At 61.6% G+C, this 21,379-nt stretch overlaps 1 protein-coding gene across 13 annotated transcripts in view, besides 3 other annotated features; it reads right to left on the reverse strand.

Annotated features, from left to right (window-relative positions):
• The window catches only part of MEGF6 (multiple EGF like domains 6), a 136,836-nt gene that overhangs the window by 105,733 nt on the left and 9,724 nt on the right, over positions 1 to 21,379 (reverse strand). For 10 of the 13 annotated variants that reach the window (XM_047448229.1, XM_047448217.1, XM_047448220.1 and 7 more), the window contains exons 1-3: positions 17,455 to 17,825; positions 8,783 to 8,917; positions 1,655 to 1,764 (exon numbers count right to left, since the gene is read on the reverse strand). In XM_047448229.1, the coding sequence (XP_047304185.1) occupies positions 1,655 to 1,764; positions 8,783 to 8,917; positions 17,455 to 17,585 (376 nt within the window). In that variant the 5' untranslated portion in view covers positions 17,586 to 17,825. Of the gene's footprint in view, positions 1 to 1,654; positions 1,765 to 8,782; positions 8,918 to 17,454; positions 17,826 to 21,379 lie in introns of those variants that run through there. The other 3 variants (XM_017000533.3, XM_011540886.3, XM_011540888.4) reach the window with 1 other exon arrangement.
• Positions 2,899 to 3,795: an enhancer, noted in NCBI's record as "H3K4me1 hESC enhancer chr1:3513146-3514042 (GRCh37/hg19 assembly coordinates)". NCBI's record gives its function as "activates a minimal SCP1, AML or CMV promoter by ChIP-STARR-seq in primed H9 embryonic stem cells {active_cell/tissue: H9 hESC(primed)}" and the evidence as "EXISTENCE:reporter gene assay evidence [ECO:0000049][PMID:30033119]".
• Positions 19,362 to 20,108: an enhancer, noted in NCBI's record as "H3K27ac-H3K4me1 hESC enhancer chr1:3529609-3530355 (GRCh37/hg19 assembly coordinates)". NCBI's record gives its function as "activates a minimal SCP1, AML or CMV promoter by ChIP-STARR-seq in primed H9 embryonic stem cells {active_cell/tissue: H9 hESC(primed)}" and the evidence as "EXISTENCE:reporter gene assay evidence [ECO:0000049][PMID:30033119]".
• Positions 20,109 to 20,854: an enhancer, noted in NCBI's record as "H3K27ac-H3K4me1 hESC enhancer chr1:3530356-3531101 (GRCh37/hg19 assembly coordinates)". NCBI's record gives its function as "activates a minimal SCP1, AML or CMV promoter by ChIP-STARR-seq in primed H9 embryonic stem cells {active_cell/tissue: H9 hESC(primed)}" and the evidence as "EXISTENCE:reporter gene assay evidence [ECO:0000049][PMID:30033119]".

The following is a 21,379-nucleotide window of genomic DNA, read 5'->3' on the forward strand; positions in this document are numbered from 1 at the left end:
GAGCCTTGGCTTTGATGTCTGCCCCCTCCCCACTAAAAAGACCCCTTTGTTCCTCCCAGACGACAGGAGCAAAGAAACAGGCACAGCTCAGGTGCCATCAGCAACAGTGGGGGCTGGGACCCCCTCCGAGGGGCGGCTGGCCAGCACCCCCCTCCCTGCTGCCAGCAGTGGCCCCATCTCCTCCTCCTTCCTTGTTACTCTCCTCCCTTCCTGGAGAGAATTACCCACTTCCTCTACTGGAAAAACATGGCCATCATCCCTTCTCTTCCCCTTTTCCTGCTGGAGCTCGGGCCAGGACGGGCAACTTCAGCCCCGGTTTGCAGCCTGCATGCTTCCTGTGTGAGAAGAGCCCCTGCGGCTCCAGGCAACTACCCGCCATAAGGACCCCTAGAGCTGGGTTCTGTTCCTGTCACCGGAGCCCAGGGGAGCCCACTGTCCATTAAACCTCAACGTGGAGCGTGCTGGCGGGACATGGTGGCTCACACCTGTAATCCCAGCACTTTGGAAGGCCGAGGTGGAAGGATCGCTTGAGCCTAGGAGCTCAAGACCAGCCTGGGCAACATGGTGAGACCCTGTCTCTACAAAAAATACAATAATTATTCAAGCGTGGTGGTGCACACCTACAGTCTCAGCCACTCGGGAGGCTGAGGTGGGAGGATTGCTTGAGTCCAGGAATTTGAGGCTGCAGTGAGCTATGGTGGTGCCACTGCACTCCAGCCTGGTTGACAGAGTAAGACCTTACCTCTAAAAAATAAACATAAAAAGTAACAAAATAAAAATGTGGGGAGTGCGTGACTCCCGGCCACACTCCACGGCGCAGCCTGTCCCTCACTGGCAGGATGCCACCTCGATTTTTTAGGGGAGGCCGGCTTTATGGGACAGGGTCCCATGACCTCTGGACTGACCCCTCCCAGGGAGGGACACTGACCCCTTTGCCCAGGCGGTTTCACTGGCGGGGCTTCTGTCCCCATGCCTGAAACCCTTCCCAAACATCTCTGTAGCTGTGAGCCCCATTCCTTTTACAAAGCAGAGGCTTGAGAGCCGCCCGCTCAGCTCAGACCACCCAATTCCAGTCCTGGGCCCCCATCTCTGAGCCCCAGCACATCAGCACCTGCCCGGGTCAGGTCGTATGCAGCACGGGCCTCTCCAATTGTGCTGGCTACATAACGGAGAGAGGAAGGAGCGGCTCCCTTACACCCACTGAAGCTGAGGCCCGCCACCCGGCCCGGATTGGCCTTGGGAGAACACGGTATAGGGAAACAGGGCAGGGAGAGGGACTCAGGGAGCTGGGGGTGAGCGTGGTGTGGCAGGTAAACCCCGAACTAGGCTCAGGAGTCCATGAACCACAGACACCAATGCATGGCCCCAGGAAACCCTCAGACACCCTGCCAATGGCAGGCTCCTGTCCTCCGGCAGAGCCAGCAAAGTGGACTGACCCCACCCGGCCCCAGCTCTCTCTTTCCGCAGCTCTGCCAGCCTCGCTGACGTCGCTTTTGCAGCCTTTGGCAAACGGCGTTGCTGAGCGAGTGTTCCCTGAGTCTCTCGTGTTGCTGGGGAAGGGCGATCCCCACCAGGCCCGGGGCAGATTCATGGCTCTGCTGAGTCCTCTGGGGTGGAGGTGGAGGGAGGGCGGGGAGGCGCAGGCGGCACTCACCCGAGAGGCAGCCCTCCTCGTCGGGCTGCTGCATCCACCCTCGGCAGCACCTGAGCACGGTCCGGGCCTCCGTGGTATACACCTGCCTGTAGCCCATGTAGTAGACGGTTCTAGAAAGAAAGAGAGAAGGGAAGTGCTTACCGTCGCGGGACTGGCTGTATTCGGCTCTCACTGCACCCCTGGGGAGACTGACTCTGCGTCAGCCGGGTTCCCGGCGGCACAGGCTGCAGCACCAAGGTTCCTGGGTGGGGTGGCTGATGCCAATGCCCAGCCAGGTTCTTCTGAACGAGGGGGCAGCATGGAGGCAGCAGGGGCCATGCTGGAGCCAGCGACAGTGGCCTCGTGCTGCATGCAACCCGGGAACACGCTACCTCACTGCCCCTGCCTGGCCCCCTCCCTCCCGACGGTGGTCCTGGCTCCAGGCTGGCGTTGGGACGCACATCTCACCGCTCACTCGGCTCTCAGTACCAGGCAGGTCTGTGAGCATCTCGGGGAGTTGGAAGTGCCCAGCCCTGGAGCCAGAATGGCTTCTGGGATGAGCCAAGTGGGCCCATGGTGCCCGGGACCGGGTGGGCTGTGCCAGGCAGGGGAGGTGCCAGTTCAAACTCCATATTTTGAGTCCATCAGTGAAGCAGACGGCCCCAGTAGGAGCCCCACACACAGGTGCAATGGCCACTGCCCCCTACACCTAGGAGGACAAAGCTGAGCTGGGGAGACAGAGGAGACCTGGAGGAAGCAGTTAGGGGAGCAGCAGGAGGACCTGTGTGGGCCCAGGTCAGAGAGGAGGCACCATGGCGGGCAGGCAGGGAGGGCTTCCCGGAGGCAGTGTGGCCAGGGCAGCCTTGGTTCACAGGCTGGCTCCTGCTCAGATGGGACGGGCTGCGGCTGTCACTAAGGCTGAGCAGAAAATGGTAAGGCCCCCCAGGAGACGGCAGTGTCCTGCTGGGAATGGGCAGCCCGATCTGGCCAGCCTGAGAAGGTGCCCACAGCCAGAGAGACCCCAGCTACCCAGAGGACATGACGTCCCCCTCCCCAAGTCCAGACGCTGCCTCAGGCCACCAGCACCGTGCAGTCCACAAAGCCCGGCCACCTCAGGGCACCCTGCGCCATCCCCTGCCAAGCCCCCATCTCCACCCCAGGGCACCCCGCGCCATCCCCTGCCCAGCCCCCGTCTCCACCCCAGGGCACCCCGCGCCATCCCCTGCCCAGCCCCCGTCTCCACCCCAGGGCACCCCGCGCCATCCCCTGCCCAGCCCCCGTCTCCACCCCAGGGCACCCTGCGCCATCCCCTGCCCAGCCCCCGTCTCCACCCCAGGGCACCCTGCGCCATCCCCTGCCCAGACCCTGTCTCCACCCCAGGGCACCCCGCGCCATCCCCTGCCCAGCCCCCGTCTCCACCCTGCTCCTACAGGCATCACCAGCCCCCACGCATGGGAAGTCTTGGCAGAGCATTTGGCAAGGGGCCTGCCTCTCCCACTCTGGAACTCACCCTGAGTGGGACAGCTACAAACCTAGAGCAGAGGGAAGGTGGGAGGTGGGGGCACCCCAGCCCACAGCCCCAGCAAGCCTCCCACCATCACAGCCCCATCCCGGGGCTCGTAAGTCTCAGTTCCTCCTTGTCTGGGCCTCTTCCAACTCGAGCTGCCCCCAACAGGCCGCCAACCACCCGCTCCATGCCCCCTAAAGTGAAAGACCCTTGGAGAGGGCTGGTCGGCCCGCGGACCCCGCAGCCCCTGTGAGGACCGCCCACTCATTGCCCTGCAGCCACCAGCAGCTCACACAGCTCCACTGCCACCAGGGAGCTGGTTCACGCAGGGCTGGGGTCATCAGGGGAATGAGGCCTTGGCCACACGGATGCCTACTCCTCTGCCTTCTGGAAGGTTCGCTGCCTCTCGAGGAAGCTCCTTTCCTGCTTCCCCAGAGCATGGGTCACATGAGCCCCAGGATCCGCCTGCCCACCCTGCCGTCCTTCCTCGGGAAGCCGCCCTGACGCCTGGGTCCTCACCCCTCCACTGCCCAAACAGCCTCCACCCTCACTCTAGCAAGGACTACTAGCAAGACAGACGGCCACCTGTGCCACCTGCCCACCCTGACGCCCTGTCTCCCGCTGCTTGTTCTGCAGTGACTAATGTCCCCACAAACTCAGGTCCACCCGGCTGTGACCTTACTTCTTGGAAATAGGGTCTCTGCTTCACCTGCAGTCAAGTTAACATGAGGTCATTCACAGTGGATGGGGGACCCTAATCCAGTGACGGGCGCCCTTATAAGAAGAGGGAAATTTGGACGCAGGCACAGGGGATGGCTGTGTGAACAGGAAGGCAGAGACGGAAGTGGCGGCCACAAGCCAAGGCACTCCCAGACAGCCGGCAGCAGAAGCTGGGGGCTGTGACAGACGCCCCCTCAGAGCCCCTGCAGGGGCCCAGCCTGCCCACACCTTGATCTCGGACTTCCGGCCTCTGAAGCTGGGAGAGAATAAAGCCCTGCTGTTTTGAAGCCACCTGGTTTGTCGGGGCTCACTGCAGCAGTGGCAGGAAACTCTTGCACAGCTCACCGCGTGGTACCTGCCCAGGGGTCCCAAGGCTCTGAGGCCTTTGTGTTTGCAAGGACAACTGCTCACGTGCATGTGAGCAGCGGGAGGATGGAGACAGAGGCAGAGAGGGACAGAGGCAAGACAGAGAGACATAGAAAGAGAAATCGAAGGAGTAGAAGATGCGCCCGCCCCGGGCCTGCCCTGCAGCCTGCAGACCCCACAGCCAGCCACCCTCCCCCATCTCTGCCGCTGTCTGCAGGGGCGGTGACCAGGGGCCCAGCCAACAGCCTGGGATCAAGGGCCCTTGAGCCTCTGGGAGTGGCCAAGGCAGCCGGGCTGCCGTCTCTGGGTAACAAAACACCCCCAGCTTGCCGGGGCTGCTGCATGGGAAGCCGGAGGTGGGCCCTGGGGACCCTGATCCAACAAACAAGCGGGGCCAGTGGCCGGCCGGCGGGCGGGCCGCTTCCCGGAAGCACGTGCTCATGCACGCGCACTGCACAGAGACGCTCTGGGAGCGCCTTGCAAACCCCGTCTTGGCAGGACATGAAACCACTTGCCCGGACAGAAACCGACCACCACGGCGAACAATATTTGGCAGAGCTGAGAGTGTTTGGGCCTGTGCGTGGTAAATATTTATCCCCTCTCCCAGGCTGCAGCAGTGCCGGGCTACGTGCTGCTTCCCTGGGCCGCTGACCACCCCCTCCATCCCCCCAAAAGGGAATGACCCTTGCAGTCCCTGCAGCCCCGTGAAGACCAGCCCTCCGTTCTCCTGCAGCCAGCACCAGCCCACACGGGCTCCAACGCTGGGGAGCTGGTTCACGCAGGGCGGGGGTCGTCATGGTAACGAGCCCCCCCCCCCCCCCCGGGGCCCACTCCTCTGCCTTCTGCAGCCACCAGCTCACAGTGGAGGCCACGGCTCAGGGAGTGTGGGCCTGGCAGGAGGGACCTGAGCGGCAGCTCCACCCTCAGAGCCCCTCCCCCACCCCTTCCTTCTCAGGGACCTTGCTCTGCAGAGCGCGGGAGCCCCTTTATTCAAAGGGCCCCCGGCCGGGTTTGTCAGGGAAGTACCCACTGAGGGGGCTGAAGGCAAGACCCCTGAATACCCGGGCGCCCTCTCAGCTGTACTCACAGCCTCACCTACTCTGGGCCGGGCCGGGCTGGAGCACCCATCACCCCGCGGCCCTGCCTGAGGCAGGCAGCAGGCTCCACAGCCCAGAAGCCAGACGAGGGGCTGACGCCTGCTGCCCTTCTGACCGCAGCCACCACAACACCACAACACAGCCACTGCGGGGCCAGCCTGGGGAGGGGGCTCATCTAATCCTCACCGCTGCTGTGAGCCAGGTGGGGAAACTGAGGCTTTGGCGGGTTCCCACCCTACTGGGTCTCATCCAGCCTGCTGGCCTCCCCCCCAGAGCTCAGGAGAGGAGGTGTCTCCTTGTCTGTCCAGGGCAGGAGGGTGACCCTGCACCAGGCAAGCCAGGGTGCCCTCGGGCTGTGGGGTGAGCAGCTGCTGCCTCTCGCCCTCGGCTCTCAGCCACCCTGCATCCTGCTCCAACCAACTGGAGAATTACCAGTGGAAAAGAATCACCACAGAAAGAGAAGGCCAGAAGCCAAGCCCTCGGGGACACTGTCCTGACAATGAGGCCCCAACAACCTGGCACAGGCACACTGCAGGCACAGCTGGACATTCAGAGCCACATGTGGCACCCTTCAGGCCTGGGCAGGGTGCCTGCCGCCAAGCCTAGCTGTGGCCTCACAGCCCGAGTCACCAGTCACCCAGTCGTGTGACGGTGGAGGGCCTGGCGGCAGTCTCGGCCCGGCTGGCGAGGTGGCAGATGGAGGTGCGTAGAGGCTGAGGGGCGTGCGTGGTGCCCTGCCGGCCAGCACTCATGCTTGCTCCTCACTCCAGGGCCTGAGGAAGCCCAGGCCAGCCCCTGACCCTGCCCTGCTGGGGCTGTTCTGCGCGTGGGCACCCCGTTTCTGTGCCCCGTTTCTGGGCTGTGCCAGGCAGCCCAGAAAGGGTTAGGCTCTGACAGGCACGACCCCAGGCCCAGGAAATACTGTCAGCTCAGTTCACGGGTGAGAAAAAGGAGGCTGACGTCGCCAGGCTGGTAGGGGTGGAACCAGCGATGAAACCACGAGCCTCCCATGGCACCAGCTCACCCTTGAGTCACCCCTCAGTGCCACAGTGCTGTGGGGTCCCGCCTCAGCTGCCCCGGCCTGGGCTGCAGCGCCAGGAGCCTGCCCAGCCCTTCCCTGCATCTCCCCAGCCCGGGCTGCCTTCCCTGCATCTCCCCAGAACCCAGGGGCCTCAAATGCTCAGTGCCCCGGCTGAATGGTGGCCAAGCCAATGAGCAGCGCTGCCCTTGCTGAGCCCAGCCACACATACCCAGGTATCTGCTGTGTGGCAGAGCTGTCCCTGTGGGCACAGGAGGAGTGGCCTGTGCCCACCTCCACGATGGCACCCAGAGCCCAGCTGGGATGCTGGGGTCCCCACCAGTTCCACAGTGAGTTGGGAACCTGGTCATAAGCACTGGGGGCTCGAGGGCAAATGGGCAAGGGCTCAGGGTTAGGGACGGGGACTCCTGATGGCAGAGGAGGAGAAGCAATGCTCTGAAGGAGGACAGGCGGGAGCTGGAGGGCGGGGAACAGGGCTGGCTCCTGGGAGGGATGAAGGGAGCAAGCCTCAGGCCGGTGCTCCAGGCACCACCCAAAGTCTTGCCGCGTGGAGTGATATCTGGACCTGGCATCTGAGGAGACTCCCCCGAGGCTGCACAGCTGGATTCAGCCTCCAGCAGCTTGGGAGGGGACACAAATTGGAAACGTGGGATTTGGGAGCACCCTGTGCCCACGAACAGCCCCAGAAGCATCCCAAAGGGACAGGGGCCCAGGCCACATGTCACCACCTCACTTGGGGCTGGTTCCAGTAGAGCACACAGGACGCCCATCCCCCCGGCACCAGGGTGGTAAGAAGCCTCTGGTTCCCCCAGGAGCGGGGGCCAGGTGAGAACAGCCCAGGGTCCTCGGAGGTGGACCTCGGCCCCTCCCCCATGACAAGCCCAGGACCTTGAGGCAGAATGGCCACCTTTCGGGAGGGAGGGTTGGTGAAGAGGCCCGGACACCCTGCATTGGGTAATGCCGGGAGGGGATCCCCTGCCAGTGCCCCCCCCTCCAAGCAGGGGGACTTTGTCCACGGCTGCCCCCAGTGCCCTGCCAGGAGGCTGAGGACCCCGGCACATCGGCAATGCTGCTCCCACCCTGCCTTCAGGCTAGCCTAGAGACCACAATGGAGAAATCATGCCCCCATAGCGAGGGGACTTCCTCAGCCCGGCCACCAGCACTCTCTCCAGCCCTGGGCTCAGATGGCTTCTGGCTGCTTCTAGAAACAGAGCTCTTCCACCACGAGCTGTTGGCGGGAGACCTGGCTGATGCAAACAAATTCCCGCAGGGAAATCCACCTGCATCCATGCACGCATGACATCCACAGGGCAGGCCCGCATCCACGCATGGGTGACAGTCAGGACAGACTGCAAGCTGCTATTTTGGGGAAAACAATGAGAGGAGATTTCTTCTTTTTGCTCAGGGTCCCTGAACCTCAGCCCTCCTGAGATCTCTTGTTTTGGGGGCTCAGGATCCCTGAACCTCAGCCCTCCTGGTACTGGGCCGGGTCGTCTGTTCGGGGGGTCGTCCTGTGTGCTGAGATGCTCAGCAGCATCCCTGGCCCCCTCAGCCTGCCCAGCTCACCTGTCACCAAACCTGACTCCACATCTCCACTGTCCCGGGGTAGGAAGACAGAACTGCCCCTGAGTGAGAACCACCATTATTGCTTAACGGTTTTTTTCTCCTCTACTCTGAACACATCTGAATTGCGCAGCAAACACACATTGACCAGAAAGCTGCCAGAGCCCCCTGGAGCAGGTACAGCAGGTGCAGGTGTCCCGCGTGGACCCCATGCCCAAGGGAGCAGCGCAGAGCAGGGCCTCGGCTCCTCCGCAGATCCCAGGCTGAGAAGCTAGCCACGATCTTCTCTGAGAATGCGTTCCTGCCTTCCCTCCCACAGACACACGGAAACTCTCCACCTGACACGGGGGCTGCCAGCTCCCGGCACAACCCGCTTTGCGGCAGGGCTGGCTCTGCAGAGCCTGAGTCTATAAAAGGGGGAGAGGTGTGCACAGGCACTCAAGTTCGGTGTTGAAATAAAATCTTGCGCAGTAAAAAGTTTCACGTGTGTTGGGGAACAAGGCCCTAGGGCCAAGAAGCAGCAGCCTCCCACCGGGCCCCTGGCAGGCTGAGACCACTCTCCCCTTCCTGCGTGGCCAGCATCCTCCCGGGCTGGGCCCCTCCTCCTCCACACACCCCTCACAAAGGACTCAGGTGCTCGGCTAAACAGGAGAGGGCTACAGCATGTGAGTAGCCCCATGGCAGACCCACCCTGAGGGTGGGAGAGGCCTCATGCTCAGATGAGGGCTTCAGGCAGGGGTTGCGTGTGGCCCTGAGACCAGGACGGGGTCCTGGCCTCAGCTGCCCAGCTCCCGGGTGGTCAGTGCCGCCCTTTGTGTGAATGGAGCCCCTCCCCCAACACGGGCCCCTGCACTTACCTCCGCTCATGACCCACGCACCACGCCTGCCACCCACAGCCGGCCTTCCACACCGGCACCGTGTGGCTTAAGGCCTGCACGCACGGCTGGCGGCGGCCCACCAGGGTCAGCTCCTGCTCAGCACACACGTGGGGCCTGGAACAGAGACACGGAGAGTCAGCGCCTCGGCCACCCCCAGCCGGCAACACCCACCCCTCCTGCACCCCCAGCCTTGGGTGTCAGCTCATCTGGAGTGAGGTCCAGACCCGTGGCCAGGCCTCCACGGCACAGTGCCCATGCCAGTGCCCCAGGCCAGCCGTGGGACCCAGGCTTGAGGGCACAGGAGCTCAGGGGAAAAGGCAAGATGACCGCAACATCCCCCACGCATGGCCCACAGCGTGGATCCTAGTGCCCTAAGACCTTGCAACACAGCCACCAACGACGCTGCCTCAACAGACAGGAACTGTGGCCTCAAGGCACAGTCACACCTCGTCCAGAATCCAGGACCAAGCGCGGGCCCATTCTGTCCTCTCCACCCCAGCCCTCCCCACCTCGCTTCAGAGATGTCCCCAGGCCTGATGTTGCTGGGGCACATGGCTGGGGTGAACCCGGGCCCATCCCCTGTGAAGTCAGCGGCTCCCCGGCATCCTATGACCCACACTGGTGAGTGTTTGCTCTTGGAGGAGGAGGTGAAAACCCCAGCCCCATCCCTGCCAAACTCCTTCAGGTCCCTCCAAGGCCTCTCCAGCCCAGAGGCTGCATAAACCAGGGGAGGGGGCATGCCAGGGACAGGCACCTTAAGCCAGCCATCCAGACCCCACCGGGCTCGGAGCAGGTGGAGAAAGGACTCAGGCCCTGCGGGGGGAAGGGTCAGAGGGAGGGACCCTCCAAAGACAGCCACACGGGCCAGCACCCCCAGAGCAGGGGCTCGCCCCTGGCCTGCCCTGACCGAGGGGTGAGGCGGGCTCCCTCCACAGAGGCAAATTCGGGGGGAGAGGACAAGGCTCCAGTGCTCGTGTCCCACTACGTCAGGTGACGTCTGGGGGGCCTCAGAGGAAAGAAGAGGCTTGTCCTGCTCTCCCAGCTCTGGACTTGCTCCCCAGAACCAGGGCCAGGCATACCTGGTGCGGGCCGGTGTCTCCCCTCCAGCCTCAGGTGCAGCAAGCCTGGCAGATCCCACCAGAGCCCCTCCCACCTCCTGGGGGCAAGCAGGTGGCATGGGTTCCCCCAGCCTCCTCATCAGAGGTCCCCACCCCACCGGGAATATTGTCCAGGCTCGGTACCGCCCTCCGCCCAGGCCTTGCCAGGAGCTCCTAACCAGCCGCCGCCCCGTGGGCCGGACCCTGGCTCAGCACTCAGAGACTGCCCGCCCCGTCCAGCCACCCTGGCCCCAGGCCAGCCGCCCCCAGATGGAGGCTCTTGCAATGGAGGACTTATTTTTCCTCTTTCCTGGGGCTCGTGCTGTGTGGGAAGCCCTGTGTCCCCTCTGACTTCAGCCCACCCCCTTGTGCTGAACAAATCCAGAAAGCACAGACCCAACATAGCGATGGCAAAAACTGAGAGGGGCAAATGGCAGGGCCTCACCAGCCGGGACAGCAGGGGCTCCACCAGGCTGCTGTGGCACCCAGAGGAGGGACCCTGGCCTCCAGCTGCCCACCCACGAAGGGGCAGACGAAGGCTGGGACCAGAGTCCAGCTCCAGGTCTCCAGTCAAGTCCGAGAGGGGCTGGGGCTGCTGCTGGACATGTCCTGCCCATGACCTCCTGCCGAGAGGTTCTGCCCACACTCTCCCGCAGTTTCCCAAACGTCCCATCCCAGGGCTGAGGCTTGCCCACCCGAGGTAGCGTTGATTCCTGGAGTCCAGGCCCAGGTGACTGCAGGGTGGGGCACAAGGCAGGGCACGAGGCAGGGCAGAGCTCCTCCTGGCCATAAGCAGGGTCCAGGTTCCCCACCAACTCCCAGACAGACCGGCAGCTGCAGCCGAGAAGCCTCCGCAGCAATGGGGACCCTCCAGCTAGGCGGGATCAGCTGCACGAACCCAGGGCAGGTGGAAAGGCTCTGCCATTGCCTCTTCCTGCACCAGGAAGACAACTCTCACCTGGGTGGAGAGCGAGACTTCCAAAATCCCCGACTATTTCTACCTGGGAGCTGGGGAAGAGGTGACTCGTTCAGGAGTGCCTCCTCCGTGCCCAGCACCAGGTCCTTTCCTGACATTACATCATCGAATCTCTCCCCTCCCAGGGAGGAAGTGACAGTGACCCCCTGATCTGCTCAAGATCACCAGCTAATGGTGATGACTAAGGGCCAGGTCTCTCCCACCTTCCCCCAGCACTGTTGGGCCTCTGTGTCCTAAGGGCCACGGATCCCAGAGTGAGAATAGGGGAGGGGGCAGGACCAGAGGTTGGATCAGGGACAGAGGGTCACGTCTCCAGGGAGAGCCCTCCTCAGCCTCCCTGGGGCTGGGTCCTGACCTCATTCCTGACCCCCAGACTACAGCACCCATGGGGGATGGTCTCACAGCCCCCAGGGCCACTGCCCCACCCCACCCTGCTGTGACCCAAGGCTGACCTCTGTGGATCACATCCTCCCAGCACCTGCACACACACAAACACACACCCTCACACTCACACTCTCAGTCACACACAAACTCACACTCAATCACACACATTCACAACCACTCATACACACACCCACACACAGTCACACACTCACAGTCACATACACCCTTACTCATACTCAGTCACACACACCCACACACACAGTCACACACACTTTACATGGACTCGAACACAATCACACTAACAGAAGGCACTCACACATACTCTCACACCCACACAATCACACAAACGCAATCACACACATTCACATTCATATGCATGCTTACACACTCAACATGCTCATACACTCACGCACGTTCACACACACTCAATCACACTCACTACCATACCCACAATTACATACACACAACTCACAATCACTTTCACACTCAAAATCACACACCCTCATACACACATATGCTTACCTATACACACATATACACAATTACACACATACACACACAATCACACACATACACATTCACACTCACACACAATCACACATATTCTCATACACTCATACACTCACATACACACACATACACTCATACAATGACACACACACAATCACATACATACTCATGCACACGCACACTTCTGTACTCTCACGCATGCAAGCTCACAAACTCACACACACTCGCACACACATATGCACTCTCAAACTCCCATTCACACACACTCACAGATACACACACAGGCACACACACTCACTTACACACTTTGCCTTCTGGCTGCCAGGTGGGTTTAGTCAATGGGAGGACCAGGAAGAGATGTGGAAGAGGCACTGGGGTGTGGCCCTCCTGTCAGGGGCGGAGGCCGTGCCCACTCTCTCCAGGTTCCAGGACCCGGCCCCCACCCAAGGGATGGCCTTGGCTCCACGGTGGCACCCCCGTGCTTCCTGCGCCCCTTCATGAAGATCCCTCCCCAACCCCTCCCGGGACAGTGCCACCCTGTCCTCCTCCTACTGACAGATACTCTGTCCCCCTGAAACTTCAAAAATTCACACTTTCATGTAACAGTGTCAAATTTGGGATCAGAGACAGGTGTTTTAAAGAACTAGCACATCTTGGAGGGCAGAACTCGTGATGAACGCACCCACCCCACCAACCATCGGGCTCTAGGGCTGCAAAGCGTCATGCAGTGGTTCTCAAAGTGGGGTCCCCCGGCCAGGACCAGCAGCCTCTCCTGGGAACCTGCAGAAATGCACACTCCTGGGCCCCACCCTGGACCACTGAATCCAGGACTCTGGGGGTGGGGCCCAGCATTCCTCGGGGTGGGAAGGATTGCGTGTGTTTGCCCAAGCCCACCAGGGGATGCTGGAGCACACTCAAGCTTGTAACCCCAGGCCTAGCGGTTTGAAGCAAGGTCTCACCGCCAAGCAGCCTGGGTTTGAATCTCAGCTCCCCACGCCCCATCTTTAAGACGCGCAGGTTACTGAACCTCTGCCTCAGTTTCCTCACCTGTAAAATGAGGACTCACAGCAGTGACCTTGCCAGGTTTGCATGAGGGTTAGATGAGCCTGCACAGAAAAGGGCTCCCGACAGCCCTCAGGAGGTGTGAGCTAGTGTTACTGCAGATACTGGGACTGTTTATTCCGGAAAAAGTGTCACTTGTACCTGGAAAGTGGGCCATAGGAACTGCTACAGGCATTGAACGCTTTTGCCGTCCCTGTGCCTTGCAACGCACTTACCCACGGCGAGCCCTGGGCACAGGTGACCTTGAACTCCTTGCCATAAAAAAACGGAAGCCGGGGGGAATAGGCCAATGATCCCTGAGCTTCTGGGCTACAGGGTCCAGCCCCTGACTCTGTGATGGCCCCTGTGCTGAGGGCAGCCACTGTGAAGGGACTCTGTCACCATCTCAGGATGGAGATGACACAGAGAGGGCAGAGCTGTGAGCTTGGGTTTTCAACAGACACCCCAGGCCTGGGGCCTGCTGTGCAGCCTGGAGTCACTGACCATCTCTGAGCCCTCAATTCAGCATCTGGAAAGCAGGCGTGATGACAGCTTGGGCCTCCGGGGCTTGGAGACATCAGGGACACGGCCGGGGTTAGGGGTACTGAGGGGTTGGGTGCTCCCCTCAGAAGGGCCTTCTTGTCCTTCCCGGCCCTCCTCAAACCTCAGCAATCTCAGCTGCCACTAACCAGCAAGACGACAATGCTGAAGGACTCACCGAGACCCCTTGCCAACCCCACCCTGGACCACCCAGCAGCCCTTCCCGCACATCACACCCGTCACTCTCCCGGCCCCTGCCCGCCTGGTGCGCCCTATGTCTCCCCAATAACTCCTCCCCTTCACGGCTCTCCCCAAGGACGGAGGGCCCTTGCCCTGCCCAGCCAGGCTGTGGTCCCTGAAAGCAGCTCCTGGATGGCTCTTGCAGTGACCCCCAACAAAATTGATTGATCATCAATCAAGCCAGCCTTCAAGGAGGGGGTGAGTGTGGGAACGACTGTCTCCTCTGGGGACTTCAGCACTGCACACACGGCCACAGCACCGCACCCGCACGGCCCCGGCGGCCTTTCCACCTGTGAGGATGGAGAAGGTGGCAGGGGAAGGGCAGGCAGAAGAATGGACAAAAAGAAACCTCCCACTGCTGCACATGGGTCTGAGGAGAACCCAATAAAGCACCTGGTGACCTTTGACAGGACCAGAGTCCCAGGCCTTTCTGTTCCTTGCGGCTGGATCCCGCCTCCCATCTGGGGGCGTGGAACAGGAATTCCCAAACTACAAAGTGGACCTGGTGCAGTCGGAGGCGGAATGCTCCCAGCTGGTGGGCCATCTGCTCCCGAGCAGAGCCGGGGCTCCACGGGCAAGAGATGGGCGGGCATGCTGCGGGGTCCCTCCAGGGCAGGCAGCGACAGTCTGGGCCCAGCGACGGCATCACCAGGTTGGGGAGGGCGGGGATCCAGAAAGCAGGCAGCCAGCCTGGCTCAGCTCCCCAGCCTGGCTGAATGCAGCCCCTGAACAAACCCCTGTGGGCGGCGGGGGTGAGGGGAGTTGGGGGGGCTCGCTCAGGACAGCGGCCCTGGAGGGCGGGGCTCGCTCAGGCCAACGGCCTCGCGCTTATTTTTAAAGGCTCGTTTTTACCCCCATGGTTCTCCTCTGCTTATGCTTCCCAGGGCCCCATGCAGCCAGCATGCGGGGAATCTCAAGGCCCTGGGGTTGGGGGAGCCCAGCTCCTGCCCTGGGGCCCCTCGGACTCTCAGGTACCTTCCTGTAGACAAGGAGACAATGAACAATGTCACTCAAAGCCCCAAAGGCAGCAGCTCACAGAAGTGAGAGCTCCTTCCCCTCCAGGTCACGTGCTGTGAAACTCATGGCCCTAAGGGGAGGCTGAGAACAGCTGCCTTCTACACCCTGGGGTCGGGGAGCAGGCCTGCTGACAACCTGCAGGCCTCAGGCTCACGAATGGGGCCCTTGGAGCCCATGGCCCCAGTGGATCCAAAGAGCTACTTGCAAGATTGGACTTGAGCTTGCAGGGCCCGACCCGCCCTGGAGGGAAGGCATCATATCATTAGCTGATTCCAGAACACTGGCCATTTTTGTAGCACAGCTGCCCAGAGGGGACTCCATCAGAGAGAACCTGAGCCCCGCGAAGCAGACACTCCTCTCTGTAGCCCAGCAGCACCTCTCAGGGTCTCCAAAATGTGGAGCTTCCAACCATGGCTGGTCCGAGCCCTGCGGGTCCATGCCTTAGCAGGTGGGCAATCGGCCCCCGTCTCCCAGACCCCGTTCCCAGATGCCCAGCCAGCAGCCTAGGCCTCCTGCATGAGGCCCCAGGAAGGAGGCCAGCCATCCTTCCTCATAGTGGAAATTCACTTTGGAGTGACCTGAATCAGCAGATAGATCAGTTCTGCCCGCTCCAGGGATGGGGCAAAGCACCTGGATCTGCGAGTTGGAGGGCACACCCCTCGCTGCCTCCGACAGCGTCTCCTAGAGGCCCCGGCTTCTAGCATTAACAGGAGGTTGGCAGTAACGCTTCAACTCAGCAGCCAGTGGTTCAGGAACACTCAGCCAGCGGGGGTGCCGCTGCCCCGTGCCAAGCCCTGCCTGCTCATCAGATTCCCAGGAGGAAAGGGTAATGGGGAGGACAGGATCAGCAGGGACTGAGCACTCTCTGGGATCTGGCCTGCTCCTCTGGGGTAAGGGAGCCAACAGCGCCCTTGCCCCACCCCCGTACCAGAGCCCACAGCTTCCTCCTCCTTTCTGCTCCACAGAGTGAGCCTCAGAACGGGCCCTGCACTCCACAGCCCAGTGGGGACCTCTCCAGGGTCCAGCGCAGGGTCCCCGCACTCACTCAGCCCACCAACTCCGGCCCACTGCGGCCTGGCTGCACGTCCAGGCACGTGCCAGGTGCTTACAGGACAACAGGCCTGTGGAAGGCACGCCTGCCACCGTCACAGAACTCAGACTCTCGCTGGTGGACGATCTGTGAGCAGAGGCCTCCAGTGGATACGCCTGCAGCCAAGAAGATAAACCAGGGGCACAGGCCCCCAGCGCAGCCACCGCCACTTACTGCAGCCAGGGAGGCTCCCCAGGAGAAGAGCAGGATGTGAAGGACAGAGAAGGGAGAGGAGGGGAGGCTTGGAGAAAGGATGAGCAAAGAGAGCCAACTCTGCTGCAACCCATTTCCACCACTTCAAACAGCTTTGCCCCAGGGTCACGAAGGACCTCCCGAGCCCAGGTGCAGAGGCAGGACACAGGAAGCAGACCCTCCACTCCTCCCCTGGAGACCCCAGCAAGTCTGAGTCCGGCAGCGGGCCCAGGAAGGTCGCTGACGGTTTCCACAGTGCACTGGTGGCAGAGGCCCCTCGCAAGAGCAGGGACATCCGAGCAGAGACAGCGGGACATCCACCTCCGCCAAGCAGCAGCCCACCCCTGGGACTCTGGGGAGCCTATGCCCCTGGAAGCCCCTGGCTGGTCCTGGGAGGAGGTGGCTGGCTGAGCAGCGAAGGCCACTGTTGTGTCCCTTCTGAGCCTGCAGCTCTCCTCGGACAAAGGCATTGGAATCACAGGAAAGAGGAATGTCCCGCCGTCATGTGGAGTCAGGACTAGGGCCGTTCACACTGCGGATGCCAAGGCCCCCAACCCAGGGACAGCATGGCTTTGAAAAGGCCTCCACTTTCTGGAGTAAAGCCAGACCCAGGGTGGGGTCTTGGGAGCTTGGACCCCCTCCTCTTCACCAGCTCGACGTGGCAGCTTCTTCTGTCAGTCCCCAGCCAGCTGCAGCTTGGTCCTGCACCGCCAGGTTTGTGGTGGGCCCTAGAGCACCAGGCCCTGCTGGGGAGTGCTGGACGGGAACAGCCTGAGGGCCCCTCTGTGGCCCCTGGACGGGGAGGCTGTCAGACAGGAGGCCTTCACCTGGACCTGGCCCTCGCCCACCCACCCCTGCCAGCAAGGCCAGGGAGTGCTGGGTGGGGGCGCCAGCGACTCCCCTCCTCCTCCTCCTCCTCCTCCTCCTCCACTGCCGCACGTTTTCCTTTGAGGCCAACACAAGGATTGATTTGCTGTTCATGAGAGACCGCTAAACGGCCCGTTGGGGAATCATCTTTCAAAATTAAATTCATCTCGGCTGGCTTCCTGCCCATTCTGGCACTCAGTTCCTTCTCCAACAGCCCAAAGCACACATGTTTACCACACAGACCAACTCCATTCAGCTCCCCCATCTGGGCACTGCTCGCCCCTGCGAAGGCCCCCAGACCCCAGGAGACAGGCTTTGGAGGGAAGCGGGAACAGACGGCTTCCTCTCTGCCTTCTCCCAGCCGGGCTCTGGGGCCAGACCCTGCCCGGAAAGGGGCCCAGATTCCTCACCGCTTCCAAGTACAGTATCTGCCTGAGCCTGCAGGACCCACATCACGGAGCAAAAGAAGGGGAGAGTGGGAGGGGGGGAGGGGACACGGCGAGGGGCCCTGCCACAGAAGGGCCCCAGACTCGACCCTGGAGCCCTGTGTCTCAGCCACCTCCTCCCCAGTTAACGCAAACAGCCCATTGTTCTGGAGCCCCAGGGACAAAGCCTCGGAGCTCGGTCCACCACGGGCCTCCAGAGGCCCCGGGGTCCCTGGACGACCGGCCGAGCCCTCCCAGCTCCTGCTACTCACATGCCGGGCTGCAGCGGGAGCAGGGGCCGCGGCGGAACGCTGGCGCCCACGGGCACGGCGGGGAGCAGCAGCAGCACCAACGCCAGGACCACCGCGCGCCCCGCTGCCCTCGCCTCTTCAAGGAACGACATCGTGCGCGCCGGTGCCTCCTCCGCTCTCCGGCTCACAGGCGGCCCCGGCGGCTCCCCGGAGCCTCCGCCTCCACGTGCGCCATAGGACGCAGCCACAGGTGCCCGCGCCCGCTCCGCGGAGCCCAAGGTCGCTGCAGGTGCGGAGCGTCCCGGCTTCCCGCCCGCGCCCAAAGTGGCACCGCGGAGACCTGATCGCCGGGTCCACCCTGCAGGAACTCGCCCCGGCGCGTTGAGCACAGTGCCCCGGACTCAGAGCCTGGAAAGCCGCCACGCCCCCGGCCCGCCCCCAGCCCGGACCCCAGTCCCGACCCGCCCTGGCTCGCCCGCCCCCTGCGCCCTCGGCCCCGCCCCTTCCCCCTCCCCATCTCCTACCCCACCAGCGCCCCGCCCCCGGCACGGCCCCTGTACTTGCCCGTATCCCTCACCCCAGCCCGGCTCCTGCTTCCAGCCCCGCCCCTAGCCCCCTCCCCTCTCCGGTCCCGGCCCCGCCCACAGCCTTCCCGAGTCCCGCCCCAGACCCCGCGGGGCTGGCGCAGCCCCTTTGCGCTCCCTGCTCGTCTCATGCGGAAAGTCCAAGTCCTAACCGACTCCAGTGACCAATCCAGGAGGGGCCGGGCGCCAGGGGGCCACACCCCGCAAAGGCAGCTCTCTGGGATCCCGGACCCCAGACCTCGATCTCAGGAGACAGCCCTCAGCCTCCCTCACTTCTCAAGTCCCACGGGGAAGCCAGCCTCGGCTTGTCCTGCCCGTGGACGCTCCGTCCACCTTCGCCCTGACACCTCACCCACTTCCCGCAGGGCAGGGGTCGGGGAAGGGCTTGAGGAGGGCGTGGCCAGCCTCTGCAGCCCGCGTGCACCCTGGACACCCCTGCTTCGGGGACCTGCATTGTTGGTTCCCAACCACCTTCTGGGCATCCCCGTTCCTCTTTCTGTGCTGCATGTTCTTGGACAGTGGCCTGGAGTGGGTGGGCGCGGGGTCCCAGCAGCCACAGACAGGAGGAGGCGCTAATTTCTAGGGTGCCCATGGGCACAGAGGCACTGTCTAGGGTGCTAACTTCTAGGGTGCCCATGGGCAGAGAGGCACTGTCTAGGGTGAGGCTTCTGCGAAGCAAGATTCACTTGTCTCCTTTGAAACCTGGTTTTGGTTTGAAATTGACTCCAGGGGCCAGGACCAGGTAGTCTCAGGGATGGAGATGGAGTCTCTGGTGTCAGAGCTACCAGACACTCAGGAGAGTCTCTTTTTGAATAGCGGAGGGAGGTGCAACCTGGGTGAGACCGGATGGGGGCCAGGTGTGGCCCCCTCATTAGCCACACAAAGAGCCAGCCATGCCGGTCCCTGCTAGAGAGGTGCGCTGACCATCAGCTCAGCCACTGAAGCCTGGCCAGGCCCTGTTCCTTGGAACCTTCCCCCTCCAAGGCTTCGTGTGGTTTGGGGGAGGAACTTCGCTAATAGGGAGCACTGGAGGGAGCCCTGGCTGGGAGGGGCTTGGGAAGGGAGCACCCCCTGACTGTCCCGATAGGAGGGACAACAGTACCCCCAACACACACAGGCTGTCTGTGCCTCCACACCACCTGGAGGCTACAGTCCTCTGGGGGTGGGTGGCCGTCTGGCCAGCCTTGCTGTCACCCCAGCTTTACAGAAGGGGAGACCTAGGTCACAGGAGGGGGAGCACCCCAAATCACCCAGCTTGTGAACTGCAGATCCGGGAACTGAACATAGGGGTCTGGCTCTGGGGACCTTCGCCTAACCCTGTAATCTGCTGCTTATAAACAACAACAACAACCATTGACAGGCACAAAATAGCCAGGAATCCCCAAGAGGTGAGCTAGTTCACTGTCTTCTAAAACCCCAGCTACCAGTTGGTGCCCCCGTTGCTGATGCTCCAAACACTGCCCTACTCTGTCCTACGGGGTTCTCAATTCTGCCTCTCACCCACCCCCACTGACCACCCTTCCCGGGATCTCGGCTGCAGGGGCTGCCCCAAGCCTGGGTTTGGGGGCTACTTTCCTCCTGGTCTCCCAAGAGCCTGCACCCAAGAAAACCTCCCCAGTGCCCCACTTCTGCGCTGGGCCCCTGTCCTCGGGTGGAGGTGCAAGCCCGTGAGTGTCTCCCCCACCCTGAGAGCTGTGGAATGGCTTCCCCATCTTTACATCTGATTCCTGCTCTTTGAGAGCTGGCTTGGCACCCATGGGTGGTCAGCAAGTGTGTGTCAAGTGAATGAATTAACACCTTGAAGAAGTTCACCTGCTTCTCTGCTGAATTCCAGCCGGCCCTGGGACGGGGGTGGAGGAGGATGACTCACTGTTTGAGAACATTCTCCAGCTTATCAGAGGAAGAAGGAAAGAATGTGGATGGATCCTGTGGGTTCAAAAGGAGGTCTCTGGGCAGGGGAGGGTTCAGGTTTCAAGCAGCCTGAAACGTATAAAATGAGGGGCCCTCTGGAAGAAAAATCATATAAAAGTAAGTTATTTTACAAAAATACTCGGCCTCGTGTATGCATTTCTAGGGCCCTGAAACATGACCTCTGCTGGCCCCGCAGAACCCTGCCGCTGTGCTCTCCCCTGTCCCAGGCACTGCCGCTGTGCTCTCCCCTGTCCCAGGCACTGCCGCTGTGCTCTCCCCTGTCCCAGGCACTGCTGCTGTGCTCTCCTGTCCCAGGCATTGTGTTGAGCAGCTGGGGGAAGAGTCCTGGGTAGGCCCCAGGTGGAGAGGCAGGCAGGAAGGGGATATGTCCTTCCTGCTGGAAATCCCTGCGGTCAGGACACCTGCCGTGCCCTCCCAGGCCATGCATAGCTTTTTCCCACGCCTTTCAGGGTGATGGGGGCAATCCACCGGGGAGGTCTGTGGTCTTCCCCCACTGCGCTCGCTCGTCCATAGACAGAACCCTCATTCTCAGGCACAGCAGGCAGCTCACTTCTCTGACAGGCAGGCCCCTGGGGCTGTCCGTGCCCCTATATCTCACCCCCTCCACCCTAAGCCCAGGTCCTCTGCCCAGCCTGGTACTGGAGGGCATGGGTGTCACTCAGACATGTGACTGTCTCAGTCCCAAAGTGTGTCTTCCTGCCCACAAGACAGCCGAGCGCCAAAGAGGGTGCCTAGACTTGATACATGAAAAAAGGCATCAGCCTGGCGTGTGTGTTTAATACACTTCTGTATGCAGATTGAACTCATGGTAGACAAGGTTTCTTTTGTAGCAAAAAATAAACTACGCAGAGCACAGTAAATATTCTCCAAGAATGATCTTTGTCCATTTTCATAATAAAGTGACAGTCTGTGGGACAGTTACTGCAAACATTTTCCCAGTCTGTAGTTTTGGTTTTAATATGGTTACTGAGGTTGTCAGACTATATAAGCTTTGAATTTCATGTACTAAGATGTATGTAGTTTTTCCTCTGCAGTTCCCTCCATTGCTTAGAAGTAAGCACTAAGCTTAGAAGGTTCACTAATGTTTATTCTTTTTTGTTGCTTCCATTGCATTTATTTACGTATTTCCCTCAGCATTTATTCTGCTGTCCGCCGTGAAGGAGGAATCTCCCTGGTTAGCCAGTGGTTCAGGCACCAGCAGCCAGCCCAGCTCCTTCCACTGATGCGAGGCAGCCTCTTCATCCTGAACTCATCACAAACAGACTCTGTCTCTGGGTATTTCCACTGGGTCTTAGCTCAGCCCCAGACCGTTTAACCTCCTTGCCCTGCATTCCCAGGATGAGACAGAAGGGCCTGCCGTGTTGATTCTCATGACAGCTTATCAGGAGCTTGTCTAAACGACGGCACAGCCAGTACCTCCCCACTACTCT

The sequence above is a fragment of the Homo sapiens genome, chromosome 1, assembly GCF_000001405.40.
Source record: "Homo sapiens chromosome 1, GRCh38.p14 Primary Assembly".
Taxonomy (NCBI): Eukaryota; Metazoa; Chordata; class Mammalia; order Primates; family Hominidae; genus Homo; species Homo sapiens.